The following is a 21,296-nucleotide window of genomic DNA, read 5'->3' as shown; positions in this document are numbered from 1 at the left end:
AGAGTTTCGGTTGCCACGGCTCCAGCCCTGACTGGTTCTAATTTCCTGTCTGCTCAAAATAAGATTTTATTAATCTGTTATTTTAGATACTTGGATTGTCATAATTCTTGCCATTATAGTGCCAAAAAATAAGAAGATATGAAAATAGTACATCTGATAATTACAAATGTATAAAAATATATATGCAAAAGGGCCAGTATATGTTAGCCTATGTAAGTATTATCAAACAGCTACTAGAAGTGAATATATCCAAATGTTAACAAGACTTATGTCAGGATTGTGATATTATGATTAATTTGAGTTTTTCTCTTTATAATTTTAAAATTATCTAAACAGAATATTATAAAAATGGATAGCTCTTAGAAAATAACAGGAAACATACTTTATAAAACATGGGGTTCCAGACTTTTCTTTAGTATTTTCAGGTATGAACCTAGGAGAGATTGGAGAGCCCAAAGTGTGGACAAGTTGCTGATAAAAATAAGGCACCTAGATTTTCAGTCTGATATGCATAAAAACACTTTCCTACTGTACAAGCTGTTTCTGTCTAGTGGGCTTGACAGATGCCTGAACGTGACACAAGACACTGAAATAACATGCAAATCAGTTTTCGGTTTTAATATGCAAATATGACGCTTGGCACATCACTTTCCATGGCGAGGTAAATTTCTGTTTTTGAGTTTTTCGTGGGAAATGCAAACCAGCAAACAAATGGTTAACTCCCCATCTTTCACCTAACACAAGGTGGTTTTCATTTGAGTCAGAGCGGTTCTGGCTCAGCAATCCAAGACACTTAGGATGCAAAGAAAGGGCATGTGTTTTGTTCAATAACAATGCCACCCTAGGCAAGCAATCCTACCTTCTGACAGACACACCGATCACACTGAATTTTTGGGCCTCAGCAGGGAGGCAGACAAAGTGCCTAAGTGAAAATAACAAGAACATGTTTTTTTGCTTGACCAGTGAAAATCAAATCAAAGTATCTCAACATGGTAAGAAGATAAGCTTATAGCCAAAGAAGAGAAAAAAGTCAAGGGTCCTTGTTTCTAGAGTACACGAGCAGTGTAGCAAACTATAGCCTCCTATGAAATCTATATTAAATTATCCACAAATAATAGTAATTAATTAGGCATTAAAGCAGTCATCAAAATGAGTGAGATGCAACCAGTTCATAGAATTTATAATCCAGTCAGGAAATCAAGGTATATGAAGGAGAAATAAAAGAACAAAGCAAAAAATTGAACGTTGATAGTAATCAGTATGCCTTAGATATATAGGTTCTAGGGTCTGCTTACTTGGGTTCAAATCCCACATCCACAGCTTACCAATTGTATGATCCAGTGCAGGATGCTGAATTTTACTACCTATTAGTTATTTCAAAAATAAAATGGGGTAAATAGAATTTACTTTGTGAGTTGTTGTTGTTGTTTTAGACGGATTCTCTCTCTGTTGCCCAGGCTGGAGAGCAGTGGCATAATCTCAGCTCATTGCATCCTATGCCTCCCAGGTTCAAGCAATTTCTCTGTCTAATTTTTGTATTTTGAGTAGAGACAGGGTTTCACCGTGTTGCCCAGGCTGGTCTCTAACTCCTGACCTCAAGTGATCTGCCCGCCTCGGCATCCCAAAGTGCTGGGATTACAGGCATGAGCCATAAGTTAAATGAGATGGTCCAGCCTACACCAATTAAGAAACTAATATCATCCTTAAAGATATACTATGATGTATAAATATTATTCAAGTGTATCAATGGATGATACAGATTAAGAGAGACAGAGAGAGAGAGAGAGAGAGTACTGTGTGCTTAAAGAGCTTGAATTAGGACTTGAATGAGGGACAGAATTCAGAGGAACTGAGGTGGCATTCTACTCTATCAACCATGGGATTAAAATTCCTTCACCTTTCTATGTGCTTTTACAGTCAAAAGATACTTGGGTGCAACACACACACACTAGATTATTTAATATTGTCCAATGCATGAAATCATTTCTTCTTTCTGTAGAAACCAAGTTAGTGGTTTGTTAAGTGATTAGCCAAAATCATACCCATATTAAGTGGCAGAACCAAGAGTTAGGCAGGAGTCTTTTGATTCCAGCTTAGTGTTTTTCCACTAATTTACAGCCATCTCTATATATTCATTTAGAAATATGAAACTTACATGGTCTATCGTAAAGGTTAATCAAGACAGTCAAACTCACTGATTAAAGTATGGTGCTAATTAGACCAGAAGCTGGAGACCAATGTGGCCTTTTTTACTTTCAGAAATATTGATTGTGGTATAATGGAGAAAGCGTGGGCTTCAGAGGCAGAACAAGCTGGTTCAAATGCCAAATTATACCTCCAGTTTTGTATAACATTTCACAAGTTTTTTGTTCCCCCCTTTAGCGTCTTCACCTGTAAATGGAGTTGGGAAAGTAGGCAGAGGAGCTGGGTAGATGCCTTCATCTGAGAGCCACTGTGAGTAATACATAAGAAGACACATGGCATGTGCTAATATTTGACAGTGGCGCACGATTATTTGTATTAAATGCTCACACACAGTCTGTCAAATATGAGCTATGGATGTCTTTCAAATGTGGCAGGAAGGTGGATGAGAGAATATGAATGACTCAGTGTTATTCGTCAGCACTGCAGCCGAGGGGAAGAAAGATCATGCTCTGACAGTGAATCTAAAGACCAGCAACATTTAATATTTCTAATCAATCACTGACCATGATTAAAATAATAGTAGTCATATTGAAGGAATCTTTTATCCATTCCCACAAACTCTGAAAGGTAGAAATACATTAGTATTTAATTTATGTATTAATTTATGTATAATTTACAAGAGTATAAATAAGGTATTCTGAGTGCTTAGTAGGTGTTCAAAATGTTTTATATTGAGTAACTTATTTCATCACCAGTGCAACCATATTAGGTGGCTTCTATTCTGAATTTACAAATGAGAAAGCTGGAGTACAAAGATTACCGTGATAATAAGTGGAGAACCTGGGATTTGAATCCAGTCATCAATTCCAGAAAGGGATGCTTAACCGCAACAAAAGTGCCTCAGTCTCTCAACTCATCTGCCTTTTGCCAGTGAGATTTAACAACCCATCCACTTATTTGTAGTGGAATTTCACATACATTACAAAGTCTTGAACTATCAAAAGAACCTTTCTTAAGGACAAACATTTTTTAATGATATAGTCTCTCTGCGCACAAAGATGGAAACCAAAAATATTACAAGTACCCCCAACTAATTCTGATGCAGGTGGTCTGAGTACAAGGCTTTGAGAGACATGGTTGTTTTTTAGTTTTTATTTATTTTTTTTTTTTTGAGATGGAGTTTCACTCTTGTTGCTCAGTGTGCAATGGCAACATCTCGGCTCACCGCAACCTCTGACTCCCGGGTTCAAGTGATTCTCCTGCCTCAGCCTCCTGAGTAGCTGGGATTACAGGCATGTGCCACCATGCCCGGATAATTTTGTATTTTTAGTAGAGATGGGGTTTCTCCATGTTGGTCAGGATGGTCTCCAACTCCCAACCTCAGGTGATCCACCTGCCTCTGCCTCCCAAAGTGCTGGGATTACAGGCATGAGCCACCATGCCCGGCCGACATGGTCATTTTTAATGTCTTCATTCATTCACTTGACTCATCAAAAGAAGTAGAACTGCTCTTATCAATCTGAGATATAAGCTAGAGAATTAATGTTAAATCTTAAAATAGTAAAATAAAATAATAAATAGTACTGTACCTAAAGGTGGGCAAAGGGAAAAACAGGTAAATAATACTATATTCTTTCACATTAGAAGCTAAAGGACAGTGTCATTTTCCAGTGACCAAACTGAAAAATTTTCTGCCGGGTTCTTACCATATCATGAATAAAATGCTAAGAAAATATTCAATTCTACAACAACTTAGGCCTTTCTAAAATGTGGGAGGCAACTTTAGATTCCCTGCCTTCTGTGAATTTCAGAAACAGAAAAGACACTGGAGACCATTTAGTAGTACATGAATCCCTTCATTTATAAGAAGAAAACTGAGTGTCAAGGAGGGAAACTGAGTTATTCAAGGTCATCTAGAAAATAAGGAGTAAAATCAAGAAGAAAGCTCACATCAGGAAGGAAGGTCTAATTCAATATTCGTTTAATTCTCTTTGCACCAATAAAGATTCACTCAGAAGAGTGACGCATTCTTGATGCTCTGTAAAGTATGCTCATTCTTGGCAAAAATTTTGGGAGCCCTAATCTACATTTATGCAGCATTCTGAGATCCCAAGATGGAAGTTGCTATAAAGTGAAAATCATTGCTGTTATTCTCGGCGAGGCGACACACACTGACAACAGCTGGCATGAACAGATGTGGCCCACAGAGAATTCTGTCGGGCTGCGCTGGTGCCATCCCTTTGCAAGTTTCCTTTTCCTCGACAAACAAAGAGTGTTTCTCCTCAGTCTATGCAGCCCTATGGTCTTCTTGTTGATAGGGCTGAGTTCAAAGCCCTCATCAAGCTGGCCTCTATCTTGCCTCCCCCCTTTCATCTCAACAACTATTTCTCAAATAACATGCCTTTCAGAGAGAAACATCTCTGTTAAACGGTGAAAGTTTTCTTGACTTAGGGCCTTATGCAAAGCCTGGTGGTTGCAATAGTAATATTTATAGAATCACTATGCACTATGTCCTCCCACTTCTCAAATAATACAATGAAATAAGTACTCTGGCTGCCCCACTGTACAGATTAGGAAATTGAGACATCATGAAGTTAAATTACCTGCCCAAGTTCTCAGAGCTGATATGAGAAGGAGCTAGGATTTGTACCCGACCATTCTGGTTCTAGAAATTGCTTCCCAAGTTCTAATCACTAAACATTAAGACCAAAAAGAACAGGATTCAAGGTGACACTCTAATGAGAATAAAATGAGTTTCATGTAATTATGTGCCATAAACACACAAGGTGTTATTTTCATGATACCACCATGAGTATCATCAAAAACTCTAAATGCTTCTGCATCTCCATCATTCTAAATATCCTGGGTAATAGGCAGAAAACAAGTTATAACTGGCTTTATTCTTTTTTCTAATCAAATCATCTAATGTAGTGACTGACCCAGGTCATTCAGGACTCAATTCTGCTGACAATGCTGAACGTATGAACTCAGCCTCCAGTGCTTCTTGCATAGAAAGTCATTCGGAGAAGAACAAGTACATGTGAAGGATCACATTGTTTCTCTTGCAAGATGCAACCTAGCAAGCTTCTAACACAAAAACTACATATACCTGAAGAGATGATTGCAAATAATACATTTATTCAAAGGGCACTTGCTGAGTGCCTAGTAAGTGCCATGCTAAAGATATTGAGAAGTAGGTCTTGCCCTCTAGAAGATATAGTAGAAAATATTAGACACACAAAAATGTCCATCAATCCGAAGTAAAATGTTTTAATGATGTGCTATCAGAGCACAGAGAAAGGGGAGATGGTTGTAGCTCAGGAGATGAAGGGACATTCTCAAGAAAAGGTGGCATTTGAATTAGGTCTTGGACAAAGATGGGATTTGCATATCCAGAGATCTAGCAAGAACAAGATTCCAGGTGAAATCTCGAAAAAGTACATCAAGTGAGTCAAGTCAACAAGTTAGCATGTTTCCTTTCAAGTAAATGCAAATGTAAATGACCTCCAACCTTTATGTCCCTCTTTGTTCTTTTTTGTTTGTTTCATTGTCTGTGCTGTGCATGAAGATGTCAGTGATGTCTCGAAGGTGAGGGAATTCTTTGCTGGTAAAGTCAACCCATATATGAGGCTGCATGACAGCAGCTGTCTGCAGATTACCCAGGACCCTGGCATAGCAGGCTCTATAGAGGCTGAAGAAAATGAGGATCAACGTGGCTGTGGTGATTTTTTGATGCTAACAACTCAATGCTCAGAGGAAGGCCAGGGTGGAGAAATACAGGTATCCTGGGGTTTCTCTGCAAGGGCTATGCTGACACTCTAGGGGCAAGCATCATGAAGGAAGCCAAGATTTTTTTGCAGGTTCCATAAAGTTATGAAAAGTGGTTTTTTTTTTATGTGCTGTCTTTACATAAAAGCTTAGCTGTGAGTTTCCAGGAATACTTCCCATCCACTCCTTAAGTACTTACGTTTCAGTGGATATGAGGCACTATCACACAAAGCCAGCATAAAAGCCAGACTGAAAGAACTTAATGTGCTCTACTGTCTCTGTAGCTTGGACCACAATGTTAGATGGTAACTAGGAGTCAACAGTGTCCTTTTCCAACAAGAAAAGTATAGAGAAAATAAGAATAGAGCAGCCTGGCTGCTAGAGTTCTATGTTCCTCTCTATCATAAACTTTCTGGGTGCTATTTAGGAAATCATTTCACCTCTCTGGGTCCGGTTTCCTCAAGTGGGCGCAATCATCTTCAATCTTCTAATGCACATGTTTCTTGCAACAAATAAACCAAACAGGAGAAGTAGGACTACTCAAGTAATTTGTGAATGGCAATATGAATAAAGGGACACACAAACCATCATCATGTACATCGTCACCATCCACCTTTTTATTATTACAGCTAACCTTTGGGCCAGGCCTTACTCCAAATGCTTCAGATGTATTTCATCCACCCTGCATCTTGATTAGGTGGTTACTTTTATTGCCCTCATTCAGTGCTAAGGAAATTAAAGCACAGATTTCTAAGTAGAGCACTCAAGGCACTGAAGCCTGGATTCCAGTATGACTCTATAGTCCATGGCCTTCACCAGTCAGCTACATGTAGTATTACAAGAGTGGCATTATCAGTACCTATTTGTTATCCCTTCTCTACTTTCGAACTTTTAGCTATGTCATTATATTGCACTCATAACTAAAAATGAATAAAGTTTAACCCAAATTGTATTTACTGAGCAGGCACAAGGTGGCAGATACTGCATTAGTCAGCACTTTGATGATAAAGGTAAGGATAAACTTAGAAATGCAAAATAGTCATGACACAGTAGCTTAAACTGACAGGCAGGAGTAGCTAATACTGTTTCTCTCTAGGGAAAAATATGGATAGAAGTATCTTAAAGGAAGAAAGAAAGGGTCTCAGATGAAGATAAAAACAGTCATGAGAGATAACCCATAATTACCTACTTAAAATGTATAGGGATTATACTAGATGAATGTTCTAAAAACTACACATAATATTGTTAGCATCCTTCTACAAATAGAGGCCCATGAAAATTAAGGAGTTCCCTAAAATCTAACAGGTAGTACAGGTAGGGCAAGACTCAAGTCTGAGTCTGTCTGGGTCTAGCAACTGTGTTCTTAACTACCAAACTACCCCTAAAAGAAGAAGAAGAATGTGGAAAGAGAGAACACTTTGACTATTCTCTCCTTCTACCAGGGTCTGACTACAGGGATTTTGGTAAGTATTTATAGAACCCATCTACATTTTACACAGCTATTTATCATCCTTTAAAATGTGTTATTGCTTGTGCTCAAAGGGAACACGAAAATTAGGGCACCGTATCCATTCCAACTTGTAGATTAAAGGAACACAGAATGTTTTTTGAAACATTAGAAAAATTAGATGTAAAACCACAAATAAAGAAAAAAACTTATCTTTCAGGGAGCAGACCCCTTGAAACAACATATTTTTTGCTTCAACAAATACTTTCTGCTAGCATTACTGTGGCATACTAAGAAGTTTATCGATTTAGAGTTATCAAGCTCTAACCTCCAAAGGAAAAGCCTAACCCCGAGCAAACAGCAATACTGACATGTCACATAGCGTAATGAACACTGGACTCGGGAGCCAGAGGACTAGGATTTATGCCCCAAGCCTGCTGCATACTAGTCACATGACCTAGCTATGTCACATAATCTCTCTGCATCTCGCCTGCTTATTCTAGACTAGGTCAATTCCATTTGCACTTTATAAGGTAGGTATGAAGATGATGACCTTTGGGAGCATTATGCACATCTTTCAGAGTTTGTCACATGTAAATATTGGCAATATCTTGGGTTACCTTGTGATAAAGTCAGGGAAACAGATGCAGTGATTTCACAGGTCAGAGAAGGATATTCAACTTAAAAATCCCATTCTGGATTTTCTAAGGTCACTTATTGAGCCAAAAAAAAAAAATGAGCTCAGAATTCCTGATATACCATCATGTGTCAATGGGACAAAAATTACTAATATTTATCTCACTAGTTTCTGATACAACAGGAAACCTCTAACAAACAGGTAGCATAATAAGCTATATGGATTTGGGCAAGTCACTTCACTTCTGTGGGTCTCAACTATACCCATTCCTCCGCTCACTTGTGATTCAACAAATATAGTAAAGGGTACTAATTCTTACCATATGGACCTCAGAGAGACTATTAGGAACTGTGAAGTGAGATAATGAACTGTGAAAATTCTCCGAAAACAATGAAATGTCAAACAAACCTGGAGGACATTATGTTGAGTGAAATAAGCCAGGCACAGAAAGATAAATATTGCATGATCTCACTCAAGTGTGGAATCTAAAAAAGTTGATCTCATGGAAGTAGAGAGTAGAATAGTGGTTAACACCTCCTCTAAGCCACTGTGAGAAGGACTCCATCACTTGCAAATACAATTGATTACACAAAGCACAAGCAAGTCAACTTTTCCTGCCAAGAAGATTTGTTGCCCTTGGTGAAATAATAGCATTCTGGCCAGAAAGGAAATTTCATCATTTTCCTATGACTTCGATTCTGACTTTTGCAATATGCATGCCTGGGCTTCAGAGTCCAGAACCCAATTCTGGCCCTGTTAGTTTACAGCCTAGAGCCAGTGATTTGATCACTGACTGAGCTGAGGATAGATTTGCTAACTACCATAGCTGGGTGCCAGGCCGACCCCAGGCTCAAATCCTCCCAACACTGAGGCTGCATAGACAGGCTCTCCAGCCAAGCAGGCAGCAGAAGTGTCCTGAATGTTTACCATGTACCAGGCACAGAGATAGAGGAGGAAATAGCATACACAGAGCTCCTGCTGTGTCAATCACATCTCATTCTTTTCTCGTTTAATCTTTCCCTGATGAGGTAGGCAGTATTAGCTCTGATTTTCAGAGCAGTTAACAGATGTGAACAAAGTTAAAATAATAGAGGCGGGATTGTAATCTAGGATTAACACTGAAATTTAAGCTCTTTTTCAGATGAACGAAAGTGCCTGCCCTCCAGGAGCTCACAATCTAGTGGGAAAGTCAGAAAGGTAACTCAATAGACTGTGAGCTCCTTGAGGGCAAGGACCATTTTAAATTTTTTCTTGTATCTTCAGCATCAAGCATGTTGTCTACCATGCAAAAGGCACTTAATAAGTGCTTGCTGAATAGACAAGCCATATTTAGATGTTGCCCTTCATAAAATACAAACCTAATTATATTACTCATCTGACTTCACAAACCTCTTCTAGCTCCTCTTTGTCAAACTCCTGAGTACTACTTAGAAAGTCCTTGAAGGGCCTGCCTTCATAGTCTCATCTTCTGTGATTCCCTTCCACATCCTCTGTGTACCACACTTCCATCTTCCAACTATCTTGGCATATAGGTGGTGTTCAACAAATGTTCATTGAATGGGCAAACAAAGCCAAGAAGGGATATATCTGCATAACATCAGAGGCATCAATATAATGCCTTATGAACACCAAGGGTAGATTTATCCAACTGAAGGCATCAGGAAGGTTTCACAGAAGACAGGACAATTGATTTGAGTCATTAACTCTAAAATCTCAAAGGCTAGATGACATTGCATAGGGAAAATTCAATCCTCTTTTGCTATTAATTAGGCAAATGACATCATAACAAAACATTTTTCTTTAAACCAGAATATGAGCTGTGCCAAATTCCGTCATCTAAAGGATATGGGTTTAGGCCAAAAGCCCATCATATAGATTATTGTTTTTCTTCTCCCAAGTACTTTGGAAAAACTAAGTCTCATTTGGCATGCAGTGCCTCTCAGCAAGGTCATGGTTCTTCTGCCGTGGTGCCTGGGGCAGTTAAGGTAAGAATTGTGTTTCAAAAAAATACCTCAGACACTGTTAAGAATAAGATAACGTGGTGAAACCCCGTCTCTACTAAAAATACAAAAAAATTAGCCAGGCATGGTGATGGGCGCCTGTAGTCCCAGCTACTCGGGAGGCTGAGGCAGGAGAATGGCATGAACCCGGGAGGTGGAGGTTGCAGTGAGCCGAGATCGTGCCACTGCACCCCAGCCTGGGCGACAGAGCGAGACTTCATCTCAAAAAAAAAAAAAAAAAGAGTATAAGACAGCTGGTTAGACAGGATGACATGGGAATATTCAGAGCTTTGGTCAAGAAATCAGACCAATGAGTCAGTAAGAAAGGGTCATTGAATTACTCCATTTTCACACTGCTATAAAAAACTTCCCTGAGAATGGGTAATTTCTAAAGAGGTTTAACTGACTCACAGTTCCGCATGGCAGAGGAGGCCTCAGGAAACTTAAAATCATGGCAGAAGGGGAAGCAGGCACCTTCTTCACAAGGTGGCAGCAGAGGGAGAAGCGAGCAAGAGCAAGGAAAACTGCCTTAAAAATCTCAGATCTCATAAGAACTCCCTCACTATGAAGAGAACAGCATGGGGGAAGGGCCCCCACGATCCAATCACCTCCCTCCCTTGACATGTGGGGATCACAATTCAAGATGAGGTTTGGGTAGGGACAAAGCCAAACCATATCAGCTAGTAAGAAAGTGGGGGACACTCCCAAATTAGCACTTTCATCCTTGATCCCAGCATTAGAACAGACTATGGTATACCAGGGTGGGGGAGAGAGGAAATCTGCCTCCATCTAGATCACAGGCATCACTGGGTTTGCTCATCTGCAAAATAAAGCAGCTGAAACCGAACTAGATGATCTCCATTACCTGGAAATTGGAAATGAGGGAGCATGGAGAAAAGAGATAAGCTATAACCAGATATATTCATTTAAAGACTCATACACAAGCACAGCAAAGCTGTTGATATTGTGTCCTTTCAGACAGCCTGACATTGAAGCCCTCAGTCAGCACAAATATTTCACTTGAGCACACACATACCAGGTGCCTTAGCTTTTCTCTCAAGTTGAAGTCTTAAAGCCCCTGCCTAATATCTGTTTGAAGATTAGAAGTAGCTTTCACATCCTTGATATCAAGGTCTTCACTCCTTGTTTTTTGTGCTGCTTTTAAATAGCACACTGAGATAACAAATGCAGGAGAAGCAAGGCTTCAACTAGATGCACACTTGTTGAGTGCTTGTTTTATGTTGATTCTTCCCATACTCACCATCAGAGCTTTCCCATGGCCTCCCTCGGCTTCCCATCTTCTATCTAAATCATAGATTCTTAGTCTTGGCTGCCCATCAGAATCACTTGGGAAGCTTAAAGCATAACAGTGACTCTACCCACAAGAACAATTAATTCAGTATCTCTAGGGGTGAGGCCTAGGAAGAATATGGTTAGAATATGCCACAGATAATTCTGATGGGCAACGTAAGATAAGAACTGCAAGTTAAACATAGGAAGTCACGCCCTGTGTTAACTTCTCTTTTTCACTCTCTGGAGTATCACTGGGGTATGGTCTATCCACCCAGTATCTATGCCCATTAAATTTCTCCCCAGAAACAGCTAATAGGGTAAGAGTTGCAAGAGAAGCTGTGGGGACTAACTGAAGTGGGTTACCTTAGTTTAAAGGAGTATAGATCTTGCTGTGCCCTCTCTTTATTGCCATTGCCTTTGGTAAAGGCCTGTGGCTACATAAAACAGAATCAGCCACTGGAAGTGCCATGCACTTTGGTAGAATTCATTCTCAATATTTAATAATATTATTAATAATATCAATGGCTACATTTATTGAGTAATATATTTTGTACAGAGCTCTGGGCTGAGTATTTCATATGAATTATTAATATTTAAAAATCTGAAAATGTTCATAGGAAAGGTATTTATCCCATTATACAGAGGAGGAAATCTGGGATTAGAGAGGTGAGCAATGCATGACACCACTCTAGCTTTAAGACTGTCAAACTTCAAAGCCTGCCCTCATACACATTAGGCCAGGGAAGCGCCTTGACTACATCATTACATCATCACATCATCATGATGGAGGAAGAATGAGGATCTCAAAGAGTGGACATTCCCTTATAGGAAGGGGATAAATAATAAATAAGTCATAAATGGGTAATTTTTTTTTTAAGAAAAGTAGTAGAGAAGCTTGTTCAAGGGAGCTAGGGAAGAATGTATACAACTCAGTATTCGTGGTAATGGGACACCACGTTAAGGCAAATGGATTGAATTTGGGAAGTTTCCTTCTTTGATTGAGAGGTGAATAATTCCCAAGGAAATGGTCCAGCTTGCTTAGCTGGGTTTATCCATTTGAGGGTGTTCCCTCAGGACTGCAAGTTTAGCAGTTAGCTTTCTGACCTCACATCAAGGGCTGCTGTGGATGGAAGGCATTCTTGCCATGCGGGTCCCGGACCCGTAATTGCCTAGTGGCCCCATTAAACAAATTAGATAAGGTATACAGACTCTTTGGCATGGGGCTCAAGGTCCCTCAGATTTTGGCACTAAATTTGTTTTCAATCTTATCTTCTACTTACGTGTACACCCTATTCCAGACCAGTTCATTTGCTCTTCTCTCAATTCAACCACAGAGACCATTTTCCACACCGAGGCTGTGGACCACACTATGCTCACGGCTGTGAACACCAACAGCCAGCCATTCTCTGTAGGGTCAAACATTCTCTGTAGGGTCAATTCTGCTAGTCTTCAGATCCTAGTCAGATATCTTGTTCATTAATTCACTGGGCCCCAAACAATGTCCTCCTTCTCTCACTCCCTCAGAGCACAGTGTCGTCATAGAGAGAACATACTTCAGAGCCCACTGTCTTGCACCACTACAATTGATAGTATGACCTTGGGCAGGTTCCTTACTTTCTCTGTGCCTCAGCTTCCTCAATGCAAAATGGAAATAATCACAGTACCCACATTTCAAAGGGTTGTTTTAACAATGACATGGGTTAAGAAAACACATGGAACAGTGCTTGACATATAAGTATTTGGTAAATGAATAAATACCTAACTCTTCTGAGGCACCAATTACTGACTAGCCAGTAGTGTAGTTATATGCTTTTAGCACATATTCAGGGATCTTAAAATATTTGTTTCATTAATTCTGCCAATTGAATACCAACAAAAGAGTCTTTGGCTAAGTTTGAGCACCATCATCATCCTATACCATGCATGAGAGATGACACAGTAACACAGGGAGAGAACTAGTAAAAAGAAAATTTTGTTTTTTTTTTTTTCAGTGTTGTATAATTTTGGTCTCAGATTGACAAGCCTCAGGGAATAAAATATGTATTTACATAAAAATTTCTGGTAATGGCATATTGAAAAGTAATTAAATGAAACAACAGATTCTATTTGCTGACGGCTCCATTTCTAACACTAACAGCGTATGGGACAAAGTTTTGACATAAGACCTGGACAGCCCCTCTCCCAAGTGGTTTTTAGCTATAAGCTATCAGTGAAGGACCTGACTCACCTATGAGTTTTCAAGTACAGAAAGACCTTTGGAACATGGAAGAACTTAATAGGCATTAGGTCACTGGCATAACTCCATGGATAAGGTGAACATAGGTGTTTCATAATGTAAAAAGGTGTACTTTCTTCTTTTTCTCTGCCAGTTTTTTATCCCCAAAAATGTTCAAGAGAGAATTTAGCAACTGAGAACCTGGAGAAAATTTTAGAAATTTTGTAGCTTAATGGTTCTCAGCCTGTTGTACATGGAACTTGATGTGTCCGTGATAAAACTGTCTAATGGAACTTGAGAGGCTGATTTCAAATTTTTAAAAGTCTAAAAATATGCAAACATTTAACCGAGATTAGACTGTTTATTGACTGAATATCAACTCAGTGCAGTAAGAATGGTTATGTCATTTCTGATCAGCCAATGCGTATGTGTCTTGCAGTTTGACTGCAGAATCTTCAGCACAAAGAGTTCGAATATGAAAAATAACACAAAGTTCTCTTGTTCATGTAAAGATATAGCCTGAGATTAAAATGACAACACTCCGGTTTCCCGACTTCAAGTCTAGTGTTTCCTCAACTATACCATAGCTTATTGGAGGGTCTTTGAAGGGATATTTTTGTGCCTACGTGTAAATTGTATGCATAATGTGTTTGAATCCATAGAATAAGGTTTCTTGACCCTCCCACTGTACACTTACAATGGCTTTGTTACAGTAGGCCATAAATCTGTAGACAATTAGAAACATACAAACACAAATGTATATCATGCTCCCCACCCCGCAACACAACTCTGATTTCCTGACGACACATTTTCATAAACTTATTTTTTAACAAATTACAAGGGGTCTTCCTTCATTTGGGGCCCTGTGCCTTTTTGTTAATTTAGGAAATAATCAGGGTATACAGTCAAATAAATACCCAAGTGAACAAGGCAAATGGACACAGCAACTCCTACAGACTATTTCCCTAAGAAACCAGGCAAAAGGCAGGCTTTTGACTAAATATAGAACTAGCAGTCAAAATGTGCAAATAGAAACTTCCAGTTGTGGACTGGTGGGAAACCCCAATAGGCCATCTCAGCAAACCATGTACAGGAGGTGAAATCAGTACTTCCTTAAAAGATAATTCCAGTAAAAGGAGCACATAGGGTTCTCCAATGTGTCTCCTAAGTCATTTATGAGAAAGAAAAGGGGAAAAAATGAGTCCTGCTACCACTGAGACGCCCAGGTCCATGGCCCACAGTCTGACTCACGGTCAGAGAACTAAACTTGAGAATGTGTATAGACATCCCTTTACCTCATTATGCTTGGTCTAAGTGAATTTAAAAATAGGCCTTGGAGAGTTCCTGGACTACTCACAGCCATTGCCACAGAGTCGGTAACATAACATGTGACTTAAGATCACCTTTGTACAGTTTTGCACTGACTCATTCCTACCCAAATGGACTTTAGATGAAAAACTAATGCTAGCTTTCCCTCATGCTTTAATTTAGGATCCTATGCTACTGTATACCTTATTCTTCTTTGTGGTCATCCTGTTTTAAAATATAGGAAAAAAGAGAGGTGCTTGAGAACAGAAAGTGATGGCTGCCCCACCTCTATTTTGCTGCCAAGTATGATATACACATCCCTAGTTTCCTGTGTGCATTAGGGCCTGAAGAGTTGCCCTTCTCTGTCTCATGCATATGTGCCAAATCTGTCTCCAGTGACAGAGAGAAACTGCATGTGGTGCCTGGCTTCCGTTTCAGTAAAAAATATATTTATTTGGATTTCAAGATGATTATTGACATCCTTGGACATTCAGTACAACTTAGTAATTTGCATGGGTGTTTACTCCGCTTGCCAACATGAGCTACAATTAGGGTGAATATCAACTTTTTACAAAAACAGACTGGCCTAGTTCTACTCCTGAAATGCCTGCTCTCCAGCTTCCCTCAAACCCCATTCACTTGCCAAGGTAACCATAACAAATGCTGGTGCCTGTTGCTTGGCCTTAGCCTGACCAAGACACAGCCCTGATAGGCACCTGGGATAGTCAGGGCAGGGACAGCCTACAAAACGAATTCAGACTGGAAAAGTACAAGGTGAGAGCTGCACGGTGTAGATGTGTGTGCACTGACACATATGCTAATAAACGCAAGAGATGGAAAAGAAAGGCTCTTCCTCCTAAAAATCACACAATCTGTGTTACCATTGGATTGAAAAGTCAGTAATTTCTTGCATATGCATCATGAATTTAAAATTGGAAACAATTTTTCTTTGTGTGACATTTCTTGCTTTGCTATTAATATAGCAAATTCCCAGAAGACAAAAAGGAGAGAATAAGGAAATAGAAAAACCTGAATTCAAATCTTGCCATGGCCAAAAACTAGCTATGCAAACCTGAGCAGGTCTCAAGGCCTCAGTTTTGCCATCTGCAAAAAAACGAGGATACAGTATGAATACGGTATTCACTTCACGGGATTATGGTGAAGATCAAATAAGACAATATTGTCATTCATTCTTCTAACAAACATGAATTAGGTTCTTCCTCCTTGAAAGGTGCTGTTCAAGGTGCTGGGGATACAGCAGTGAACACAACAAACTCCCTGTACTCATAGAATTTGGATTTGTCAGTGTTGGGGCTGCTGTATGTGTGAGAGACAAACAATATGCACACACATTAAAAACATACATACTACACATCATGCAAACAATATCAGGATAGTGGTGAAAATAGATGTGAAAGAATTTTGTATATAGAAAAATGGCGTAAAAGTCAAAGTATTATTTAACATTATTACACAAGGGTCCCAGACATAAACTTTCTGCAATTACACGATTTCCTTCCTCCCTCCTTTTCCTTCTCCTTCCTTTTTTCCTCCCATAAGTATTAGTTAAGAGCATACTTTGAGAAGTGCATCATGGTGTAGTTTCTTAAGGGAATCTGATAAATTAGAAGCATATCCTGTCCGCAGGAAGCATACAGATGGCATAGAGTTAAGGCATTACAAATCTTTACCCTAGGTACAATGTGACAAAAGCTGCTTATCTTAGAGAAGGTAGATCAAATGCTATGAACATTTTGGAGGGAAAGGCTCTTCCTGAACCTTCTGGAGGTAACTCAAAGGGGACTGGAGATGTTGAGCCACTGTCCCAGGCAGAGTGAGCAAAGAACTGTGCATCCTAACAAAGACTTCTGGTACTCGGTAGCTCCTAGTGTACAAAAGGGAAATGCGGCCGGGTGCGGTGGCTCACGCCTGTAATCCCAACACTCTGGGAGGCCAAGGTGGGTGGATCACGAGGTCAAGAGATCGAGACCATCCTGGCCAACATGGTGAAACCCCATCCCTACTAAAAATACAAAAGTAGCTGGGCATGGTGGTGTGCACCTGTAGTCCCAGCTACTCGAGAGGCTGAGGCAGGAGAATCACTTGAACCCAGGAGGCGGTGATTGCAGTAAGCAGAGATCATGCCACTGCACTCCAGCCTGGTGACAGGGCGAGACTCTGTCTCACAAAAAAAAAAAAAAAAAAAGGAAATGCACCTGGGAAGATAGAGCTGGGGGTCTGTCAGCTGGAGCTGCATTCTCACTTATGCTCCCAGCTCCGTTTACTCTGTACCAGAAAGTCTTCATGAATGCAAGGATACTCAGTGCTCCAGCGCTGAGTATGAAAGATAAAACTTGCGTTTCATAATGAGACTTTCCCAGATTTCAAAGTTTGAGGTGACATTTACAGAAGCTCCTTTTTGCTAACAACAGCACAATGATCCTTTCAAAGATAATTTCTAAGTAAATGATAAGTAAAGTCATCTTCCTCTGTTGGGTGTGCAGCTCCAGTTACTTACTTCCTAAAGATAGGCTTTTAAGAAAGCTGAGACCTTTCCTGTAAACTTAATAAAATTATTATTTTCTCTTTTTGCTGTCTGAATGCATCACTGTTATTTTCTGCTACTGATTTGAGGGTAAGGTGGGGTAGTAAAAAAATGTTCTCCCACTATTGCAGGCATCTGAAATATGAAGTTAGAGAAGTAAGTTATGCTTTTTGGCTTTATTTCAAATACCCTTCTTATTATGAAGAGTGTGAACTGGAAATAAAGATGTCTTCTTTCATATGAAAGATTGTGAGCATTCTTGCTTGATAGTCCAAATAAATGGATGAAAGCTGCCAACAGTATGTGGCTTCAAATCAGCTTGTTCTTAAAGTCACAGAGAACTGAGACAATCTGAAGCGATCCAATTTAGAAACACTCCTCTAATTGTTACAATTTCAGAACAAAATCCCAGCAGAGGGTAAGTAAGAGCATATGAAGTCATAGTCCATATTTCCAGTTTTCATGAAGGTTGGAAAGGAAAGAAAAAGATGAAGAAAGAGAACGGAGAAGAAAAGAAGGGGGAGTAGCAGCTCTGGGTTTATAAAATAGCAATTTTTCAAAATAAAACAACATTTTTTCCTCTGATGAGTGCTCCTTTGGGCCACTAGTGAATGTTTGTTGACTCCTATTCACCAATGATTCTAATGACAATTTTGCTGTTTCTTCCTCATACCAGAGGAGATTAAAACCAATGAACTTTAGAAGGTAGTGGGAAAGACTGTGAAAGGCAGCACAGTGACAGCAGAGATGGCCGCTGACAGCCTGGGGGGATAGGAGGAAAAAATTACTGAGTTTCAGCAGAGCATAACAATAGATGGTCATGGTGATGACCCTGAGTCATCAAAAGGTTTCAAATGCTTAGAATAGCCCCATAAGAAAAAAGAAAAATATGCCATGCATTTTAATAAGGTTTTTATCCAAAATCTTAAAAATTGTTTATTATTAATTTTGTCTCTGATGGAGGAAAAGTCAGATGTAAAGTACAAAGTGACTAACCAGAGCATCCATGTAATGTATTCCTGAGCACAGGCAAATTTACCAGTTCCTCATAGTGGTCAAATATTTTCAACAGCAACTAAACATGCGCGCGCGCACACACACACACACACACACACACACACACACACACACACACAGAGTATTCAAAGTTTTGGCAAACTAAGACAGGACGACGAGAAAGACTAAAATGCTCATTTGCTTGGCTATGTTGTCCACAGGAGTGGCAAAAGGAATACCATAATTTTAATAATAAGTGAAAGGACAGAGTCATAAATTGAGTGGCTCCTATTATATTCTTGACAGTAAAACAAAAACAAATAAAAAAAAAACAAGTGAACTTTTCCATGAATGTTCACAATTTTCAACCACACCTGTGCTATTATCTGCATCTGTTCTAATCACTTCATGAGGAAGGCTTTCCAGTGATGTCCATTTTACAATTGTGGAATCCAAGGTGCCTATGCAGTTAGTAGTTGGTCCACAGTCACATGGCTTGTTGGGTGACTGGAGACCAGATCCACTGAGTTCCAATCCAAGTCCACATTCCTTCCTCTGCCCAGCACTGCTTCTTCCTTAGGCAGGGACTCCTCTCCCAATACCTCTGAAGATACCCCAGAGCACATGTTAACATTTCTATTATGGGTTGCCTATTAAATGCCAGCATCTTCCCATGTGTTCTCATTCAATCCACTCAACCAGTCTATAAAGCAGAGATTATTAACTGCCATTCTTCAAGTGAGGAGACAGTTCTTGGAAAGCTCAGGTTACCTACCTACATCTGCAGACTTATAATCTAACTTTACTCATTTGAGTCTGGCTTTCGTTTTGTGCATCTTTTCTATCTTCCCACAAGACTAGGATTTAACCTATTTAAATCTTATTTTTCCCTATAAGGGCAAGATCTAGGTCTTATTCATCTACATATCCCTCATCACATCCAACACAGCGAATGGGCCATTGAGGGTGCCCAAAAAATGTTCACAGCTGAATACATGTATGAATGTATGTATTACTTATGTATGTATGTAAGTATGCTGTATTCATTTAATGGAAAAAATATAAAGTTTGGAATCAGAAAGACTAGGATTTACTCTCCTTCCTGCCATTTGAGAACTGCGTGTCTTTAGGCAATTCCTAAAAACCTTCACAGATTTTCTGCTCACTAGAGTAAGGCAGAAATATACAACATATGCTGGTATCAGGAAATAGTCAATATTTGCCTGGCTAGGTTACAGTAGAATTGATTGCTCCATATTCTTTCTGGTGACCCATTCAGAAGTGTTTTAGGAATAGTTTAACAAAATGCTTAACCTATAGAAATAAATCTGAGCTGTATAAAGCTACATTAAATGTAATGTCCCGCAACAGAAGAAGACTTTGGTTTGTTATGCTAACATTTCAGCATCCTCATCTGCTCATTCATTCAGAATTGAGGAAAGCGTGTTGTAAGAGAGCAGCATGACGGAAACTGAGTCTTCAAAGAGGGGCTTTGCTGGCATTGGAACAGAAACTATAAAGCAATGTGTTAAGAGTTATAAGGAAAGTATGAATTGCTGCTTCTGGGAAATTTCCAAGATAGGTACTCATCTTCCAGTTGGCTGGGTGAATAAAGAAAAGCTACAGAATGTAGTTGAAGATTTGGCCGTTTCCACATAAGTCAGAAGCAAGACCACCCTGGGACCATGTTTGGGCTATTCCAGGGCTACAGTTTGATTTCAAGTATCAGCGTCCTCTGTCATTTCCAAATTGTCAAGCTACTGTCTTTGAGTAAACAATCCCAGGCAACCACCCAGACCTAGGGTAGGTGGGAGAAACAGCACTGATGTAAACACCTTAAACACATCCATCATTTAGATGACAATGGACAGTCCGGGCTCCTGTTGTACTTCCATAACATTTGTTAGGCTGAATTGTGATTTGGTAAGATAGATCCTAAATTTCAAAACTCCTCTTAATGTAAATTCAAACTTAATTTCACTGGCATGCAAATGACAGAGCAGCTCATGGAACGCTTCCCTCCCCCTCTCCCATTTCCCAGCAGAAGTTCTGTTATATCATCTCTAGGACAGCCACAGGAAGATTTAATAACAGCTTTTAAAGAAGCCCATTTCATGTAATTCAACTTGATTCAACAAGTATTTCTCTATCAGTTTCAATCTTATTCAACTTCCATATACAGTAGAGTAAGAGGGCATCTCTCCTGAAGAGATACCAGAAACTGAGGAGCAGATTTATGAATTTCACAAAGCCACAGATAAATCAAATATTAAATAAAAGACCCTTAATGATTTTGAGGATGGGGATAACAAGTCACATTCACTTAGTAACTATTATGTAGAAAACGAAAGGTGAAGAAAATGTTAGATTCTAAAAGTAACATAATTGTATTAGCTATCTATAAAACAATAAAGACTTGGCAGAGTAAAACAACATACATTTATTATCCCACAGTTTCTGTGGGTCACAAGTGCAGGTATGGTTTAGATGGGTCCTCTGCCTCAGGGTCTCATTGTCTACAAGCAAAGTTAGGCTGGGGTGGCAGTCTCAACTGAGGATTGACTGGGGAAGGATCTGCTTTCAAGTTTGCATGATTGTCGTCAACAGTCGGTTCCTTGCAGGCTGCTAAACTGATGGCTTCAGTTTCTTGTCAGCTACTAGGTGCCCTCACTCTTTACCACATGGACCTCTCCAGGTGGCAGCTGACAACATGGCAGCCTGTTTCTTTAAAGCCTACAAGGGTGAAAGTCCCCTCATAGAACAAATGTTACAGTCTTATATAACACAATCACACACAAGTCATCAAAGACTACATGTGACCTTTGCTGTTTCTATTGGCTAGAAATCATAGGTCCCTCCCACACTCATTGGGAGGCAATTACACAAAGGCATGAATACCACCACGTGGGAATAATTGAGGGCACCTTAGAGTCTGTCTAATG

General features: G+C 39.6%; 1 protein-coding gene and 1 non-coding gene across 53 annotated transcripts in view; both read right to left on the bottom strand.

Annotated features, from left to right (window-relative positions):
- LPP (LIM domain containing preferred translocation partner in lipoma) overlaps nt 1-21,296 on the bottom strand; it is a 737,651-nt gene that overhangs the window by 192,658 nt on the left and 523,697 nt on the right. The window lies entirely within an intron of this gene.
- MIR28 (microRNA 28) lies at nt 9,148-9,233 on the bottom strand. The gene has a single exon (NR_029502.1). It is a non-coding gene; the product is annotated as a microRNA 28 (primary transcript).

Source organism: Homo sapiens, chromosome 3 (genome assembly GCF_000001405.40).
Source record: "Homo sapiens chromosome 3, GRCh38.p14 Primary Assembly".
Classification (NCBI taxonomy): Eukaryota; Metazoa; Chordata; class Mammalia; order Primates; family Hominidae; genus Homo; species Homo sapiens.
The sequence above is the reverse complement of the archived record's forward strand: the minus strand, read 5'-3'. Positions and strand labels throughout refer to the sequence as shown.